At 39.8% G+C, this 18,955-nt stretch overlaps 1 protein-coding gene across 2 annotated transcripts; it reads right to left on the bottom strand.

Annotated features, from left to right (window-relative positions):
- Positions 1 to 3,925: 3,925 nt before the first annotated feature.
- On the bottom strand, positions 3,926 to 14,105 carry OR11G2 (olfactory receptor family 11 subfamily G member 2). 2 transcript variants are annotated; one of them, NM_001386033.1, is made up of 2 exons: positions 13,335 to 14,105; positions 3,926 to 7,567 (listed from the first exon to the last, which is right to left on the bottom strand). In NM_001386033.1, the coding sequence occupies exon 2, from the start codon at positions 7,561 to 7,563 to the stop codon at positions 6,628 to 6,630; it is 936 nt and encodes a 311-aa protein (NP_001372962.1). In that variant the 5' UTR covers positions 7,564 to 7,567; positions 13,335 to 14,105; the 3' UTR covers positions 3,926 to 6,627. The 2 variants fall into 2 exon arrangements, with proteins under 2 accessions (NP_001372962.1, NP_001005503.2); NM_001005503.2 differs by having other exon boundaries at positions 13,962 to 14,105.
- Positions 14,106 to 18,955: the final 4,850 nt, after the last annotated feature.

Below are 18,955 nucleotides of genomic sequence, written 5' to 3'. Positions count from 1 at the left end.
CTTCTAATACCAAATTATGTAATTTATCAAATTTCCAAATAATGAGGCATTCCTTTGCAAATAATTAGGCAAGAACGTTTAAGGAAGTGTTCAGCTGAGGAGGATCTGGGTAGCTGGGCACAGATGTCAACAGTTCATTACAACACTTATACTGGAGATGCGGTGCATGAAATCACACGTCTAGAAACTCACAAAATTTTGCAAAAATATGTTCATATTATAAAGGCATTTCACTGGAGCTAGCATCCATGTGTAGATGTCTTAGAAGAAGTCAAGTGAATCCTAGACAGGGGAAAAAGTTACTTACCCTTCATGATAGAGTCCTAGGAATACAAACCGAGCCTGTGCCTTCTCATTGATACATCTCTTTGCCTTATGTGGACTCAAAACCTGGAGCCTGACCCAGAGAATCCTAGGATATATAAAGGTAACTGTTGAAACTCCCTTTTCTCCTTTCCTGAAGTGCTCAAAAGGAACACTTACAGGTAATTCTTTGGGTAACAGTTATAGCCAGAGGAAAGAAGCACACTCCTCCTATGGTCAGCCCTTGAGGTTTAGGCCTCGACTGACAGGGTGGTTATTTTCATCAAGGGCTACATAAAGGACCTCAGTCACCTCCGGGCACCCAGACCTTCCAATTGTCTCATCCAGCAGAGAAAGGTCAACAGGTGAGTTTTATATATGAATTACTTTTGTGGCAGAATAGTGCCACAAAAGCAGTGGCATATGAACCTCATGAAGAGATTTCAGAAAGAGGGTGCAGGTGAATGAAGAAATGTGTCACTGTGATTCAGGGGTGCAATTAAAGTTTTGTCTTGGAGATTATTGTGATGACTTCAGTCTTCCCTTGGGCTGGTTTATGACTCCCTCAAGAGTCCTTGGCATAGCATCCTTTCTTCCATCCACAGTTTTCATGTAGTTTAGGGCAAATTGGACCCCAGAGCAAAGGCAAGAAGAATGTTTTGAAAGGCAATGATGAGACGTCTGTGTGGAATTCGAGATAACTTCTTTTTGTTCATAGGAAAAGTTATAAAAACTAATTTCTAGAAAATCAGTTGTAATGTCCTCATTTAATTTCTAATTTTTGTTGAGTCTTCTTTTTTTCTTAATCTAGCTAAAGTCTTGTCCACTTAGTTTATCTTTTTGAATAACAAACTTTTGGTTTTGTTCATTTTCTCTACAGTTTTATATTTTCACTTCATTTATCCCTGCTGTAATCTTCATTATTTCCTACCATTTGCTAGCTTTGAATTTAGTTTGTTCTTCTTTTTCTAGTTTCTTATGGCATAAAGTTAGGTTTTTGAGTTGAGATTTTTCTTCTTTTATAATGTAAGCCTTTATAGCTATAAATTTCTCTCTTAGTGCTGCTTTCTTTTCATCTTGTAAATTTTGGTATGTTGTGTTTTCATTTTTATTTGTCTCAAGATACTTTATAATTTCCCTTGTGACTTCTCTGACTCATCGCTTGGTTTAGATTGTGTTGTTGAATATCCACATATTTGTGGATATTTCTTTTTGCTGTTGATTTACGGTTTTATTCCATTGTGATTTGAGAAAGATAGGTACGATTTTAATCTTTCAAAATGATTAAGGCTGTTTTGTGACTTAACATTTCATGTAGGCTGGAGGATTAAAATATTTTACTTAAAAATTTTGAGTTGTGTCCATTCATAAAATGAAACAAAGGAAAAAGAGGATGGCAAAGTCTTTAATAGAAAGCCTACAGCCTGGGCAACATAGAGAGACCCAATTTCTAAAAAAAAAAAAAAAAAAATTAGCCAGGCATGGTGGCATGTGCCTGTGGTCCCAGCTACTTGAGAGGCTAAGGTGGGAGGATTGCTTGAGCCCAAGAGGTTGAGGCTGCAATTAGCTGTGATCATACCACTGTATTCCAGCATGGGTGACAGGGTGAGATACTATCTAAAAAAACCCCCAAACTGCAAACAACAACAACAAAAAGAAAGCCTAACACCTTTGAACTAAAAAAAAAAAAAAAAAAAAAAGATGAAGAGATTGCTAGTGTAATGGGGAAATTGAAGAAAATTCAAACGAGAGCTAAACCATGGCCACAAACTTCCAGGGATGAGTGATTCCCTTCTGAGTGGCATCAGGTCTAGCTCTGGTTCATCCTTACCTGAGGATGAAGACCATTAGAGCACCAGCTTTTTGTGACCACCCCCTCCCCACCAGCACCAGGTTCCTATTTCTATCTCCTCAGCCAGGAATTGTCCTGAAGCATAAGGATATGAACTACAGTCAAGTGCTCTCTGAGCATGAATGGCCTTAGTGCTCACCTCTCAGGCTTTCATAAAAAAATGACTTAGCCATTTTCTATTCTCTCTTCAGATTGTCAATGTTTTTAAGTTTTTTTTTAAATTTAGTATTTTTATTTGATCACAGCAAGATGGTAGATCGAAGCAATTCAACATTCTATTACTAAAATCTATATTTACTTAACATTTTAAATAATATCTCTCTTTTGTATTCAATTTATATTATTACTATTATTATTGTTATTTTTTGAGATGAAGTTTCACTCTTGTTGCCCAGGCTGGAGCACAATGGCATGATCTCAGATCACTGGAAGCTCCACCTCCCGGGTTCAAGGGATTCTCCCGCCTCAGCTTCCCAAGTAGCTGGGATTACAGGCATACGTCACCACACCCGGCTATTTTTTTTTTTGTATTTTTAGTAGAGACAGGGTTTCACCATGTTGGCCAGGCTAGTCTCGAACTCCTGATCTCAGGTGATCCACCCACCTCGGCCTCCCAAAGTGCTCGGATTATAGGCATAGCCACCACGCCCAGCCTATATTATATTTTATGGTCATACTTGCTTTGTCTCTGGGACCTTAGTAGTAACCACTAGCAGTGGTTGATTATACGATGGTGTAAAATAATTTCTAGAAGCACTTCTATTCTGTAACCTGAGGTGCACTTGCAAAAAGACAATGCCTGTGCTGTGCTTACAACCTCTTTCACACAAGTTCCATACTTACATACATGCAGCTTCTCGTGAGCTTCCACTGTAATTAGGCCTTCCCCTCTCACTGAACTTTTGCTACTTAACAAAAAGAAAACCTTCCAATTTTCTCGATCACAAGACTGTGAATCCTATGAGGGAAGAAAATGTGTCTTATATACCTTTGTCTCAAATTTATTTCCTGGCTCAATGTTTGGTACATTGCAGGTGCCGAACAAGGGCAATAAAAATCAGTAATTGAAAAATAAGGGAGATGATGTCTAAATATAACTGTGATAAAACTCGTTAAAGTTTTATAACAGTATATTTACACAAGCCCTAAGATGAGGAAGCTGTATCTCAGGTTTTTTCTAAAGTACGAAACTATCTGAGTGAAATTATGTTAAGGGGCTCTGAAGACCTCGCTTCAACATTTCTATCAATAAACAGGCTCCTAAGGAACCCTAGAATTGCGGGAAAAAATGATTTTCCAAATCTAATGATCAGAAAGTTCTCCTAGAAAATTGTTCTTTGTTGGCCGGGTGCAGTGGCTCACGCCTGTAATCCCAGCACTTTGGGAGGCCGAGGTGGGTGGATCACCTGAGGTCAGAAGTTCGAGACCAGCCTGGCCAACATGGTGAATCTCCATCTCTACTAAAAATACCAAAAATTAGCCAGGCGTAGTGGCGGGCACCTGTAATCCCAGCTACTCAGGAGGCTGAGACAGGAGAATCATTTGAACGTGGGAGGTGGAGGTTGCAGTGAGCCGAGATGGCGCCATTGCACTCCAGCCTGGGCAACAGGAGCTAAACTCCATCTCAAAAAAAAAAAAAAAAAAAAAAAATTGAAAATTGTTCTTTGTTTAAAGAACTTACTCATATAACCAAACATCACCTGTTCCCCAATAACCTATGGAAATAAAAAAATTTTACAAAATATGTTTTATTATTTTTTCAATGCATAATATAGGCACATGATAAAGAATTTGAACGCACAAAAGGAGTTATGAAAAAAAAGTCTCCTTTACTATCTTGTTCCTTAGACACAAAATTCTTCTTGCCTGAAGCAACCATTGTTATCAGTTTTTTGGAGCTCTTTCAGGAGATATACACATTTCCATGGAAGGCAGCTACAATACACTCTGCTATTCACTTTGCTTTTTTCATTTAACAGTGTGTCTTGGACATATTATATATCATTGCATATGGAACTGCTTCATAGTTTATAAATTGAAGACATAATATTCCATGGTATAACTCACCATAGCTCATTTTACTAGTCTTCTATTAATGGGAACTGATGTTTTTCTCAATATTTTGCTATTACAACAATGCTGCAGTAAACATTTCCCACATGTGTAAAAATATCTGTAGGTTAAACAACTTAAAAGTTGAGGTGCTGTTTTAAAGGATATGTGTCTTCTAAATTTTGATAGAGGTTGCCTTGTCACCCTATATAGAGTTTGTAAAGCTGATACGCCCACCAGCTAAGTGTGAGAGAACCCATTTCACAATCCTCAGACACGCAATGTGTAATCAAACTTCTTGATCTTTGTCAATTTAATAGATAAAAAGTGAGATATATTTATAGGCTTATTCTACTTTTACCTTTTTATGAATTAGTTAGTGCCCTTTCCATGTTTAAGAATCTTTTTCTGGATGTTATTCGTTTATATCCTTTTGCTCATTTTCTTACTGGGATACTGTTCTGTTCTCTTACTATTTTACAGAGCTTCGTTTATATTAAGGAAACAAACTTATTGTGATATGACTGGCAAATAAGTGAGAAGTCCTAAAGAGAAATTCAGGGTTACTTTTCAAAGCAAAGGGAACTTGGGCTAGTTAAAAGGGTGGTGGATAGGAACTTTTTTTTTTTTTTTTTTTGGAATTAAGTCATTATCCTCAGCAAATTGCTCCCTGATTCCCAATTCCTATTTATTTAACCTGAAAAACAGGTATTTGGATTAGTGAAGACACTTCAATCATAGCATGACCTTTCACTCCAGGCCTAGGGGAAAGTTCAAGGAGAACTAGCCCAAGCTTCTAATACAAATTCTGGGTGACTATTTTTACTGATCTACAATTACTGGGTGCCTTCCATTAAAAAAAGGCCAAAATCTGTGGTCCTGATTTTATCATTTATTTTACCATAGGTAACCTTTCCCCTGCTTCCTGCAGGGGAAGAGTCCTCAGGGATTCTTTGCTGGTTGCAATGAAAAGAAAAGCAGGTGTGCATCCCAGATTTGTGTTTATGCCAGCCTCTATATCCACCTGTCTCTCTGATTTGTGGGCTTTTGAAGACACATGCTACATGATAATCTCCTGAAAGTGAAGGAAGAAGTGAGAATGTATGGAATCTAGATAGAATAGAAAAAACTTTCTGGTCATGACTGAAAAACTTGTACTAAACCCAAAATAATTTCTATCAACAGTAAAATCTGGACAAAATACATAAAACAACCATTTGAAGGCACTCAGAGCAACTGACATAGGCAAGCCTTCATGGGCTACAGTCCAAGATGAAGGGAAGAAAAGGGAGGTGAGTTTCACATTCCCCATGTGTATTTCCCTGAGGATATTTGACCATTTACTGGGTTGGGAGAGTATGAGGAAAGGAGGAATAAGGACTGAGCAGAAAGCAGTAGTTTTACTGAACTGAGAAGGTAGAGAATTTGAAAGTTGCCAAAGCACCTGGCGTTTGAGAAATCCTGGAGAGGGAAGGACCACAGAAGCTAGGCTAAAAATATGATGCAATTCCCCTTCAAGGCATTTTTGGATTTCTAAGCTGTGTGTACACGGTGAGACCCCAAAATAGCTAGCAGAAACAAAAGCTGAGAGTCTAAAGAGCAAAGCGGAAGTTTCAGGAGTCATGGGGTTCAAGAAGTACTGAAATAGGAGGCTAGGATCAGCTGAAGCGGAGGGACCTTCTAAACAGTCCAGATTTGTCCCTGAGGTCTCAGAAAGGCTATGTTCCTGCAGTAAGAGCCACACCCTAAGAGTAAAACTAAAACGAGCACAGATCATTTTAAAAACACATACAAGTAGTGCTTAAATAGAATCAATGTGATCTGCCTCTACTCCATCTACTTGCTAGAACAAAACCTTCATTACTGCATATATTGTCTTTATAGTTTTTAAAATACAATGCCCACCAGTCAATTAAAAAACATTGAGGCATGTTACACAACTGGGCAAATAATCAAGATCTGAAAGGAGAAATAACAGAAACATGCTCACAGGTATTTTAGCTTTGGCCAATAGTAAGATGAACAATTAACTGTATAAGACCAGTTTTTTTTTTTTTTTTTTCCTGAGACAGAGTCTCGCTCTGTCGCCCAGGCTTGAGTGCAGTGGCGCGATCTCGGCTCACTGCAAGCTCCGCCTCCCGGGTTCACGCCATTCTCCTGCCTCAGCCTCCCGAGTAGCTGGGACTACAGGCGTCCGCCACCACGCCCGGCTAATTTTTTGTATTTTTTAGTAGAGACAGGGTTTCACCGTGTTAGCCAGGGTGGTCTTGATCTCCTGACCTCGTGATCCACCCGCCTCGGGCTCCCAAAGTGCTGGGATTACAGGCGTAAGCCACCGCGCCTGGCCAAGACCAGTTTTTTTTTTAAACCCCAAAATTAAAGACAAGATTAATTACGCAAGGACCTTTTTGATTAACATTTTATGTTCCCCAAAATTTCTTCAGAGCTTTTCTCATATCTTTGTTCCTAAGACTATATATCACAGGGTTAAGCAGTGGGGTAACAACAGAATAAAACAGAGTCACAGTCTTCTGCTTTCCAGCTTCATTCTTAGATGGTGGGCTCCCATACATGACCAGTACTGAGCCGTAGAACAGTGAAACCACAGCCAGGTGAGACCCACAGGTGGAGAAAGCCTTTCTTCTCCCAGCTGCTGAAGGGACCCTCAACACAGCTCTCACGACCAGAGCATAGGACCCCACAATGAAGAGAAAGAGCATAAAGACAGGCAGAGGACTTAAGACAGAAAAGACAAGCTCTATCACAGGGCCTTTTTTGCAAGTGAGAGTTAGAAGAGGAGCTGGGTCACATAGGAAGTGGTCAATAATCCTAGATCCACAGAAGGACATTTGGGAGATGTTGACGATAGGAATCAAGAACCAGATGAAACCAAGTACCCAGCAATTGACCACAAGATTGGTACAGAGACGTCTGGTCATAATGGTTGGATAGCGTAGAGGCCGACAGATGGCAAGGTATCGATCAAATGCCATAACTGCCAGGAAAAAGCATTCTGTAGAGCCCAAGGAGAAGAAAAAGTAGAACTGGAGGAAGCAGCCAGAGAACGAGATGATCTTGGTGTCAGAGAGGAAGTTGGCCAGCATGCTGGGGACTGTGGAGGTGACATAACATATCTCCAAGAAGGAGAAGTTGGCGAGCAGGATGTACATGGGGGCGTGGAGTCTCTGATCCCAGTGCACAGCACAGATGATGGAACCATTGCCCATGAGGGTCAGGAGGTAAACAACAGTGAAGAGCACAAAGAGGAGGATCTGCCCCTCCCTGGGGCAAGGGAAGCCCAGGAGGATGAAGCCAGTGAAGGTGCTGGAGTTGCTGGGGCTGTTGAAGATTTTCATGTGCCTGTGAATTGTAAAAGCACCAGCAATTACTGAATGACGGTGCAAACATAGATGGGGAATCAGATTTATATTTAAATCATTTTGGGAAAGAAAATGCATAAATTTACTATTGAAATAAAAGTAAAAAGTAAAAAACAGAATGCAGATATGTCAATAGTCACTTTTTTTCTTTTAAACTGACGTATTGATCTGGATTGATTCTTTGCTCGCGTTCACATTTTTACCATAGGCTCAAGAAAACTTTTGACCAAAATTGATAAGCTGTCATTTACATTTTACTAGGTGTAAAGCCATTATAATTTTCAGGCATGTTTACAACACTTTCCTTCAAGAGCCTTTGTATAAATATATAACAGAATATGTATTTATGGATATATTCTTACACAAATGAATTTCATTTTCAGACGGTGAAATCATTGCAGCTTTTTGTGGCAGAGACTGAGTGAAACTGTGTAGCCATGTAATATGAGACCATAAAACTGTTTGAATTACTTCTTTTATGTCACTTTTGACACTGGCCTTATTCTAAATTAAATGGTTAACTTATTAACTTAATAATATCATTCACTTGTTTCATGAGTAACACAGTCAAATCAATTAGAGGAAATTAGCTGTTGTCAGTTTCTTTTGTGTTAGGACAGCAGTCCTAGCCATCCTCAGTAGACCAGGCTGAAAGAATTAACTGGCCATGCTGAAACACGTCTGTGCTTGCCGTGAAGAATATATAAATTTGCCTAGACTATAGTTAAAGATATAATTCTATTCCAATAATACAAATTATGGATACAATTGATAACATGCAATTCTAAATAACAGTGGGTTTGTAGGCGATATTAGACTAAAGCTGTGGTCCATCTCCCAGTAACCACTTAGGAACATCTCAAGGCAGAGTGGCTTTTGAAGGCTGAATATCTGCATGATGCCTTTCATTTGTTTTAAATGAATTAGAATATCTTTGTGAAACAATCATGTAATCAAGCCTTGGAATTAGTTAGAGCCCTTTCTAAATAAGCGCATAAGTGAGCAAACTAAAGAAAGTTTGTGTCCCTCCTTCTATGTTTAGATCCACATTTTGCTTTTTGAAGTTGGCACAGGGACCCAGGAAGTTTTAAGGTAGCAGAATCTGCTGCCCCTAAACATGCCACTTTGGCATAAGATTATTTCCAGCTGAAGGCAATTGAGAAAAAGCAGATACAAGAAAAGCTCTCTGTCTTCCCCCTATTATTTGCATAGAAACAGGATAACTTTGCAAGGGTAGCCTTCCTCTCCTCTCTACCAGGGAGGACGAGGTAAAATTACCAGAGACAACTGTAAACCCTTTCCGCCTGGAGATGGCACCAGAGGAATCTATATAACAATTTTTACCAACTTTAGTCTGTATCTTCCATTAGTTTGTCCATAATATTTATTTTCCCACAGTTTCCCACCCTAGAAATGCAAAGTCCTTTTTCTTTGTCTTGTCACTTCTCTAAAAAAATTATTATTCTTTAGCTGAGATGCTATGTAAGCCTAACTTCTAACCACACCTTTGAGTTACTCATCTCCCAGTGCTCCCATGTGTATTTATGATGCGTATGCTCATAAACTTATGTTTGTTTTTCTCTTGTTGATTTGTGTTTTGTCAGTCTTACTTATAAGGCCCCAGCCGAAGAACCTAGATAGGAGAAAAAAAATTTTTTCCTCCCCTGCAGAGTCTACTAATTTCTTAGCAGAATATTTAAATTCTGTATAACTTATAAGACCAAAAACAAAAGATGCCGGCAGCAAGTTGACATCCTTTTCAAGTACAGATGTGAGTACTTAGAGGTTTATGTTGGAAGAATTCAGTTTTGTTGGTGATGGGGTGAACTGAGGGAGAAATTTTAACACAATCCATAATGATTTATTTATTTATTGAGATGGAGCCTTGCTCTGTCACCCAGGCTGGAGTGCAGTGGCACAATTGCAGCTCACTGCAATGTCCGCCTCCTGGGTTCAAGCAATTCTCGTGCCTCAGCCTTATGAGTAGCTGGGATTACAGGCACAAGCCACCAGCCCGGCTAATTTTTGTATGTTTAGTATAGATAAGTTTCATGTCATGTTGGCCAGGCTGGTCTTGAACTCCTGACCTCCAGTGATCTGCTCCCTTCGACCTCCCAAAGTGCTGGGATTACAGGCATGAGCCACTGCGCCCAGCCACATAATTTTTTAAAACACCCTATAGGTCATTTGTAACTCAGGATTCCCTAATTCCCGTGACATGGAGGATGCCTGGAGACAAAAGAGTCTCCACAGTTTCTGTCAGACTCTATTTTAACATATATAAGCAAAATAAGGATTAAATGTACTTGGCTTTTGGTGGGAATAGGGTGGAATAGGTTCTGGTAACTGTACCATAAACTTCTATTTTCTATAAGTTTTTTCTTTTCTGCTTCTCCACTTTTAAAGTCATTTGTTTAGGGGCCCAGAAAACTTCTGAGACTGCATATTTATCTTTTATAAAGGGAACTCAAAGCAGACAGTGGACGGGTCTAATTATTTTCTAAAATAAAGTCACTCTGCACCAGTTTCACTCATGATTAAGGACATTAAGCATTTAGTCATTTCTATGTCACACCTTTGCCTTTGTAGGGTGTTTTAAAAGTTACCTTAGCTTCACACGAGCCATTCATGGCTAATGAATAAAACTAATGAATTACTAATGAATAAAAACACACAAAAAAGAATTCTGCTATGATGTGTGAAGGTCCTTCATGTTTTCTAAAAAAGATTAAGTGTATATGACTAGTACTAATTCAGAGGAATATAACTTTATTATGATCAATTAAGAACAACTCTTACTAATAATGCTTAGGCATTTTTGACCAGGATTTTTTTGCTAGTGTTCCTAAAATTTTATTTTAGGGGTAAGCATCTGCTCAACAGTCGAATAATTTGACTTCTTGGATTAAATGTTTAATCAATTTTTTTCTGATGGAACTTATTTCAATGTAGTATCTCCTTCTTTTCCTCTACCCTCACATCTCATTCACAAATAATTCCTTTTAGTTTTGTCTCAAAAATAAGTCTCATGTCTGCTCACTTCTCCCCATCTCCACTGCCAACATCCTAGTTCAAGCTATTCTCTTTTCTCCCCTGGACCATGTGATGCTGCTGTTCTAACTGGCTTCCTGTTTCCACTCTTGCCTGTCTGTAACTTGTTTTCCATGCCACAGCCAGAGTAACTCCTTAAAGAAAGAAAATCAGACCAGTTCCTTTCCTTGCACATAGATTTCAATTAGCTTCCCAATGCTCTTTGAATAAAATAAAACTTTGAAAATGTAATCTTTGGTTTGACCCTTCATAATATTTCCAACATCATCTCATGATTCTATTATTCAAACTTTCTCTCTCTCACACACATACACACAAACACACACTCTGTTGTACAAAGTAGGCACAAAGATGCTCCACTAACACAAGCGCTGCAAATATAAAATAAGGATTCACTGGAGAAAACACTCGCAAGCAGAGGGTAACAGAGTGTACATCATTCCCTGGGCTCTCCTGCTCCCACTGAGGGGTGTGCACGTTTGGACTACACACACACTAGCCAACAATTCCATACCGAGGGATTCCATCTCTGTGATACTCACACCAGGGTCAGCAAACATTTTCTTAAATAGTTTAGTCTCATGGGCTCTATAGTCTCTGTCAAAACTACTCAGCTCTGCTGTGTACTGCAAATGCAACCATACATAATATGTAAGTGAATGTATGTGCCTATGTTGCTATAAAACTATTATGTCTACTGAAATGTGAATTTCATATAATTTTCATGTGTCACAAAATCTCATTTTCTATCAATTTTTAAACATATTAAAAATGTAAAATCTATTGTTAACTTGCTGGCCCTACAAAAATAGGCAGCAGGCCAGGTTTGGCACATTGGATATAGTTTGCTAACCCCTACTGTACACATTTATAGGGAAAACAGAACAAGGAACATCCATTTGACTGTGGAACAACAGAAGCTCCTTGGTGAGGCAAATACCTTTGTTAGAAACAGAGAGGAACTTGTAACCCCTGTGTTTTAGGAGGCCGAGGCAGGAGGATCACTTGAGCTCAGGAGTTCGAGACCAGCCTGGCCAACATGGCAAAACTTCGTCTCTACTAAAAACACACAAATTAGCCAGGCTTGGAGGCACGCACCACCTGTAATCCCAGTTACTCGAGAGGCTGAGGCACAAGAATTTGCCTGAACCCAGGAGGCAGAGGTTGCAGTGAGCTGAGATTGCACCACTGCACTCCAGCCTTGGCAACAAAGTGAGACTCTGCCTCAATACAACCCCCAAAACAAAAACCAAAACAACAAACAAAACAAAACAAAAAACAAACAGAGGGGACTTCTAGAGGTGAAAGCTGGAATCAGTCTGTTCTGCTGAACTAACTCAGACCTCTGGGCCAACTTTCAGCTAAATTATGTTTCCAAAGCCATTGGAATTTGCCTCTCTGACTGTCTCCTCTCTATACACATGCATGCACACACATAACATGTACACCCTTCCTCCTCAAAACTTCAGCAATATAACACTGGCCTTCTTTCAGTTTTTACAAACAGCCGGGTACTTTCAGGACTCAGGATTTTTGCTCTTGTACTTCAAGTTCACTCTTTATCGCCAGTGCCCCACATAGTCTGAGGAAGATAATAGGTATTTCTCAAATATTTGTTAAAAAATGATTGTCTACACTGTTATAGAGGATATAGATAGACAATACATCGATAGATATTTACCAATTACTTCATTGAACTTCAAAATGAAGGAGAGATGAAATTTGAGGAAATGAAATATATAAGAGAGACTTCAAATTACCCTAGGCTACTAGAGTGTTGTCCTAGACTTGAGAGGAATTCCATTCAAAGGAAGCCATGGGAAATCGAATGTTCTGGGTGATAGAACATGTCCCATCCCAGAGAGTTTCTTCCTGACTGCTAAAGATAATTATTGTTCCACAGCTTTGGATATAGAATTAGGACAGAGCTAGAGGGAAATTCTAGCTTCAGTATTGCAACAAAGTTGTGGAGGGGTTCTAGTAGTCTTTTAACCTGTATAAGCTTCATTTTCTTTATATGAAATGGGAGTTGGATTATATGATTTTTGATTCCTTTTCATTATGAAATACTATTATTCCAAGTATCCCACATGTATACATGATATGAAGACTTTATGGATCTAGAGGTGATGTTTGTTGCATTTGTCTCTCAGATGAAAATGCCATTTGGGGGCTGGGCTTGGTGGTTCACACCTGTAATCCCAGCTATTTGGGAGGCCGAGGCAGGAGATCACCTGAGGTCGGGAGTTTGAGACCAACCTGGCCAACATGTTGAAACCTCGTTTTTACTAATACTACAAAAATTAGCCGGGTATGGTCATATGTGCCAGTAATCTCAGCTACTTGGGAGGCTGAAGCAGGAGAATCAACTGAACCCGGGAGGCAGAGGTTGTGGTGAGCCGTGATCGTGCCACTGCACTCCAGCTTGGGTGACAGAGTGAAACTCTGTCTCAAAAAAAAAAAAAAAAAAATGCCAGTTGGGTAGTTTGACATTTATACACGAAGGCAAAATTTCCAGGCAAGTTCCCCCTCAGGGCAATTTTTCGACTTTGAGAGTCTAACAAAGCTGCCCTAGAAAACAAGAAGGGTGTGAAAATGATTCTCTGTGTGCTGTCACCATTTGACGCTTGACTTAAGTAGATCAAGAGCGTGTGACAGAAAAAAGATATTTCTAACAAGAGTGTAATGTTACTCACCTTTTATTACCTAGCTCCTCTGTACAGAGAGCAGCAGCAGTGTTTACCTGGCACAGGGCTAAACTGGAGCTGTCCAAAGTGGCAGGCAGATTCCCCCGAGTTGGTTACAGAAGCAAGTGTGAATACAGGTTCAGTGGTGTTAAAGCTGTGGATGCTGTACAGGATGCTTGGATTGGGTCAATTAACTTTCCAAACAAGAAAACAACAGCTTCACCCTCATTATATCTCAGAAATGTTGGATTAGACCCACATTAAGTTAGCCAGCTCCTGTGCTATAATACATAATATGAGACAAAAGCATTTCTCTGATGTTTTACTTTTTCCCCAAGGCTAGCTCAAAAAGGCAGTGTGGATCGGAAGCATTATTGTTCTGATCTCAGCAGCACACATCCATCTGCTTCACTTGATTTTGACTACATATCATTACACCTATTTACTTTCTGCAAAGTCCTTGAAAATAAGAACAGCTTTTCCCTTTATGAGAAGGGGTAGGCAACTCAGGCATAGTAGAAAAACAGTGGATTTGAGTAAGGAGCCTAGGACTTGAATTACAACCTAGGCTTTACCAATCCTGGAAACTTTGTCCATTGCATCATCTCCTTTCATGGACAAAAGGGGATCACAAACCTGAAGTTTCTCTGAGACTGTCTGATTGTCCTGGAGAGGAGAGGTAGCCTTTTCTATGTTAGCCATCAAAGAATGAAGGAGCAGAAATAGGGAGAAGGTCTCTTGGTGTTTGCTGGAGGATGGAGGCATTATGAACAGAGCCCTCAGGGAGTGAGCTCTGGTCCTGTGCTCAGTGAGGATCAATTTACCAGCTAGAGGAACAGTGTCAGGAGACTGTTCTGTGCTGGTTCTTTCCTTCCTCTGGGGCCTCCGTTCTCTGGAGATCCTTGGTGCCTCCTGCCTTTGTTTTCCAGTAGAGAAGAAAATATCTTTTCCAGCCTCCAAATTGTCAGGGATGGTATGAGATATAATCAGTCTTCAAGCTCACTCAGAGCACCTACCAGGTATCCAAGGGAAAGTCTACCAAAGTAACACAGGGTGTTATGGCTGTGATGCAGAAAGCTGTTCACTGGGCCTCTAGTGAGTGGTGTCAGTTATGGGTTTTGGGGACAGAGTTACCTCTGATTTTTTTGAGAAAAAAGAGATGGCTGGATTTGTGATGAGATCTCAGGCATAGAGGGCAGTGTAATGACAGCAGGAATCCATCTCCTCTCAGGACCACCATGATTTTCTTATAGACCTTTTCCTTTCTTGCTTGGGGTTGAGGTCTGTGACTCCCAAGCAGTTGCTTCTCAGGGCACACTTGCCAGGCCCAGGAGAGGCCAGAGCAGGGCACTAGCTCTTCCCCAGCAGTTGCATCTGAAGTTGGGCTCTAAGCCTTTCTCATCCCTGATGCAGGTGCAGGTCTTTCAGCACAACTCATTTGCTGTCCTTCTATCTCCAAATATGGAAGAAGTTTTATCTCAAAGACTTAGTTAATTTTACTTCCTCCTTTCAGCAGCTTTGATTTTTTTTCTCTGTTGACAGCATTAGATCTAAAATTGGCAAATAAAACCCCCTATGATTCAGCTCTAACATATTATTATGTTTTAAAATTTTAACTTTTATTTTAGATTCAGGAAGTACACGTGCAGGTTTGTTACATGGTTATATTGTGTGATGCTGAGGTTTGGGATGTAATTGATCCTGTCACCCAGGTAGTAGGTACCTAGTAGTACCTACTAAGCATAGTACTTAGTAGGTAGCTTTTTAGCCCTTCATCCCTTCCCTCCTCATCTGGTAGTTTCCAGTGTCTATTGTTGCCATCTTTATGTCCATGTGCACCCTCTGTTTAGCTCTCACTTGTAGGTGAGAACATGTGATATTTGGTTTTCTGTTCCTGTGTTAATCTGCTTAGGATAATGATTTTCAGCTGCACCCATGTTGCTGAACAGGACATGATTTCATTGTTTTTCATGGTTGCATATTATTCCATGGTGTATATGTATCACATTTTCTTTGTACAACCCAGTGCTAATGGACGCCTAGGTTGATTCCATGTCTTTGCTATTGTGACTAGTTCTGTGATGAACATATGAGTGCATGTATGTTTTGGTAGAATGATTTATTTTCCTTTGGTTATATATCCAATAATGGGACTGTTGGGTAGAATGGTAGTTCTAAGTTTTTTGAGAAATCTCCAAACTGCTATCCACAGGGGCTGACCTAATTTACATTTCCACCAGTAGTGTATAAGCATTCCCTTTTTCTCTGTAGTCTCACCCATACATACTGTTTTTTGACTTCTTACCCACAGCCATTCTGACTGGTGTGAGAGGATATCTCATTGTGGTTTTAATTTGTATTTCTCTGATCATTAGTGATGTTGAGAGCATTTTTAAAACTATGTTTGTTGGCCACTTGTATATCTTCTTTTTTTTGGGATGGAGTCTCATTCTGTTGCTCAGGCAGGAGTACAGTGGCACGATCTCAGCTCACTGCAACCTCTGCCTCCCAGGTTCAAGCAATTCTCCTGCCCCAGCCTCCCAGGTAGCTGGGATTACAGGCGTGCAATGCCACGCCCAGATAATTTTTGTAATTTTAGTAGAGGTGGGGTTTCACCATGTTGGCCAGGCTGGTCTCGAACTCCTGACCTCAGATGATGCACCCACCTTGGCCTCCCAAATTGCTGGGATTACAGGTGTGAGCCACCATGCCCAGCCTATCTTCTTTTGAGAAGAGTTTGTTCATGTCTTCTGATCTCTTTTTAATGGTGGTGTTTGTTTTTTGCTTGTTGAATTAAGTTCCTTATAGATTTGGATATGATACCTTTGTTGGATGCATAGTTTATGAATATTTTCTCCCATTCTGTAGGTTGTCTGTTTACTCTGCTGATAGTTACTTTTGCGATGTAGAAGCTCTTTAGTTTAATTAGGTCCCACTTGTCAACTTTTGTTTTTGTTGCAGTTGCTTTTGAGGACTTAGTCATAAATTCTTTCCTAAGGTCCATGAACAGAATACTGTTTTGGAGGGGTTCTTCTAGGATTCTTATAGTTTGAGGTCTTACATTTAAATCTTTGTTCTACTCTTTGAGCTAACTTTTGTATATGGTGAAAGATAGGGTCCAGTTTCAATTTTTTGCACATGGCTAGCTTACTATTGCAGTATTGAATTGAATAGGGAGTGGTTTCCCCACTGAATAGGAAATCCTTTCCCCATTGCTTATTTTTGTTGACTTTACTGAAGATCAGATGTCTATAGGTATGCGGCTTTATTTCTCAGTTATCTATTCTGTTCAGTTGGCCTATATGTCTGTTCTCGTATCAGTATCATGATGTTTCGGTTAGTGTAGTTTTATAGTATAGTTTGAAATCCATCAGTATGATGCCACCAGCTTTGTTCTGTTTGCTTAGGATTGCCCTGGTTATTTGAGCTCTTTGGGGTCTATATAAATTTGGAATAGTTTTTTTAATGCTATGAAAAATGACATTGGTAATTTATTAGGAATAGCGTTGAATCTGTATATTGCTTTGGGCAGCATGGCCATTTTAGTGGAAGGATATTGATTCTTCCACTCCATGATCATGGAATGTTTTTTCCATTTGTTTATCTAAAACTGTCACAGAGTTAACAGAAGACTCTTTTTTTTTTCCCAGAGGTGTAGATTTTCCAGCTATATTTTAATATGTCTTCTCATCTAAGCACTACATTACCTTCTTTCCTGAAAGCAGGAAAGGGAATTTCCATGGGGGCTTCTTAGTCAGCTTTTTGTAGGCTTTCCCGAGGACAGAGGCAGGTGTCTTTGTAATACCAGCTGGGAGAGTAGGTGTGAAAATATGTTGGGATGGAGATGAGCAAATGTATTCGTCGTAGAATTCAGGTACTGTAAGTTGAGCCTGTCCTTTGCTCCTTGAGGATTCATTTACTGCCTGCAGAAGAACAGTGCTAGGAGACAGCTCTCTACTGGGTATTCCCTTACTCACCCCCATTCTTGTCTGGACACCCAGGGTAAGACATCTGTATTGCAGGAGTTTAATTTTGCCTTCTGATAAGTTGATGTCAATTGTGGGTTCTAAGGACAGATCACCCATTCCCACGAGAAAGGGTAGACTGGCTGGGGGAGTAATGGATCTTAGGCAAGGGGGCTGTGGAATTTCAACGGGTATCACTCTCTCCCCAGGACAACCATGGCCTCCTTAGTGATCTTTCTCTCTCTTCTTTCAATTAGAGCTTCTGGGTCACAACAGTTTCACTGAAGAGCACTGCCTCTCATAGGACATTCACCAGGCCTCAAGGTGCTCTTGGTCAGGGAGCCATAGCAGGGCCATTCTGCAGCAGTGTGCAGAGAAGCTGTAATTGGGGTTTGGACTTCAAGGTTTCTTCATCCCCAACAAAAGAGCAAGTCTTTTAGTACAACTCATTATCTGTCCTTTTCTACTCCTTGAAGGATTTCTTTTTTTTTCTTTCTCTTTTTTTTTCTTTTTTTTTTTTTTGAGACAGAGTCTTGCTCTGTCACCCAGGCTGGAGTGCAGTGGTGCGATCTTGGCTCACTGCAACCTCCAACTCCTAGGTTCAAGTGATCCTCCTGCCTCAGTCTCCTGAGTAGCTGAGACCACAGGCATCTGCCACCATGCCTGGCTGATTTTTGTATTTTTAGTGGAGACAGGGTTTCACCATGTTGGTCAGGCTTGTCTCAAATTCCTGGCCTCAAGTGATCCACCCACCTCAGCCTCCTAAGGTGCTAGGATTACAAGTGTGAGCCACCACACCCAGCCTAGAAATTTTCATCTTAAACATCTCACTTCGTTTAAGCACCTTCAATGTTTCCCAAGGCCACTGAAAAAAATCTCAAAATCCATATCCTGATTAGTAAGGCAACATAGCACTGCACTATCTTTCAAGTCTTGCATCTAGAAAAGACACACCAGAAGCACTTAAGGGTGAAGAGCAAGGTATCTGTAATGTGCTCTCAAAAGGTATATATGTAGAGAAAGACAGAGCAACAGAAGGGCTGAAAGGAAAAAATAAAACAATTGTGGTAAAATGTTAACAGTTTGGGATCTGGATAAAGGGAATATGGAAGTTCTTGCAACTTTTCTGTAAATCTGAAATTATTTCAAAATAAAAAATTACAAAAAATTATTAGATTACCTGTACTTATCAAGTATGCTTTTTTTTTGTTCTCCAGGTCACATTTGAAAGAACATTCTCTAAACATTTGCAAAGAAAAATTCAATTTTCCTTATGATTTAACTGGGTCCTAGTGAAGATGTCAAGAAGGAAAAATGCAAAATGTGGGCAAAACTGTATGGAATGATTTTAGTTGTAGTGACCTGTAACTAGGTAGACAGAATTCTGCTTTCTGCTGAAGATATTTTGTGGTTATGCCTGGCTAAGCATACAACTTCCAGAAATCGGTCAGCAGCTAGTTAACATTTACTATGTATATACCAGTTTTCTGGGTTGAGAATGAATATGAGAATTGGAAAAGTAGAGACATTCAAATATCTGTAAAAGATTATCCTCATATACAAGGCATTTATTTATCATGGGAAAATTAACACTAATATTCCAGAAAAAAATATTAAAAAGATGCCATGAGAAAAACAATGCTTATACACTGCTGGTAGGAGTGA

Source organism: Homo sapiens, chromosome 14 (genome assembly GCF_000001405.40).
Source record: "Homo sapiens chromosome 14, GRCh38.p14 Primary Assembly".
NCBI lineage: Eukaryota > Metazoa > Chordata > Mammalia > Primates > Hominidae > Homo > Homo sapiens.
The sequence above is the reverse complement of the archived record's forward strand: the minus strand, read 5'-3'. Positions and strand labels throughout refer to the sequence as shown.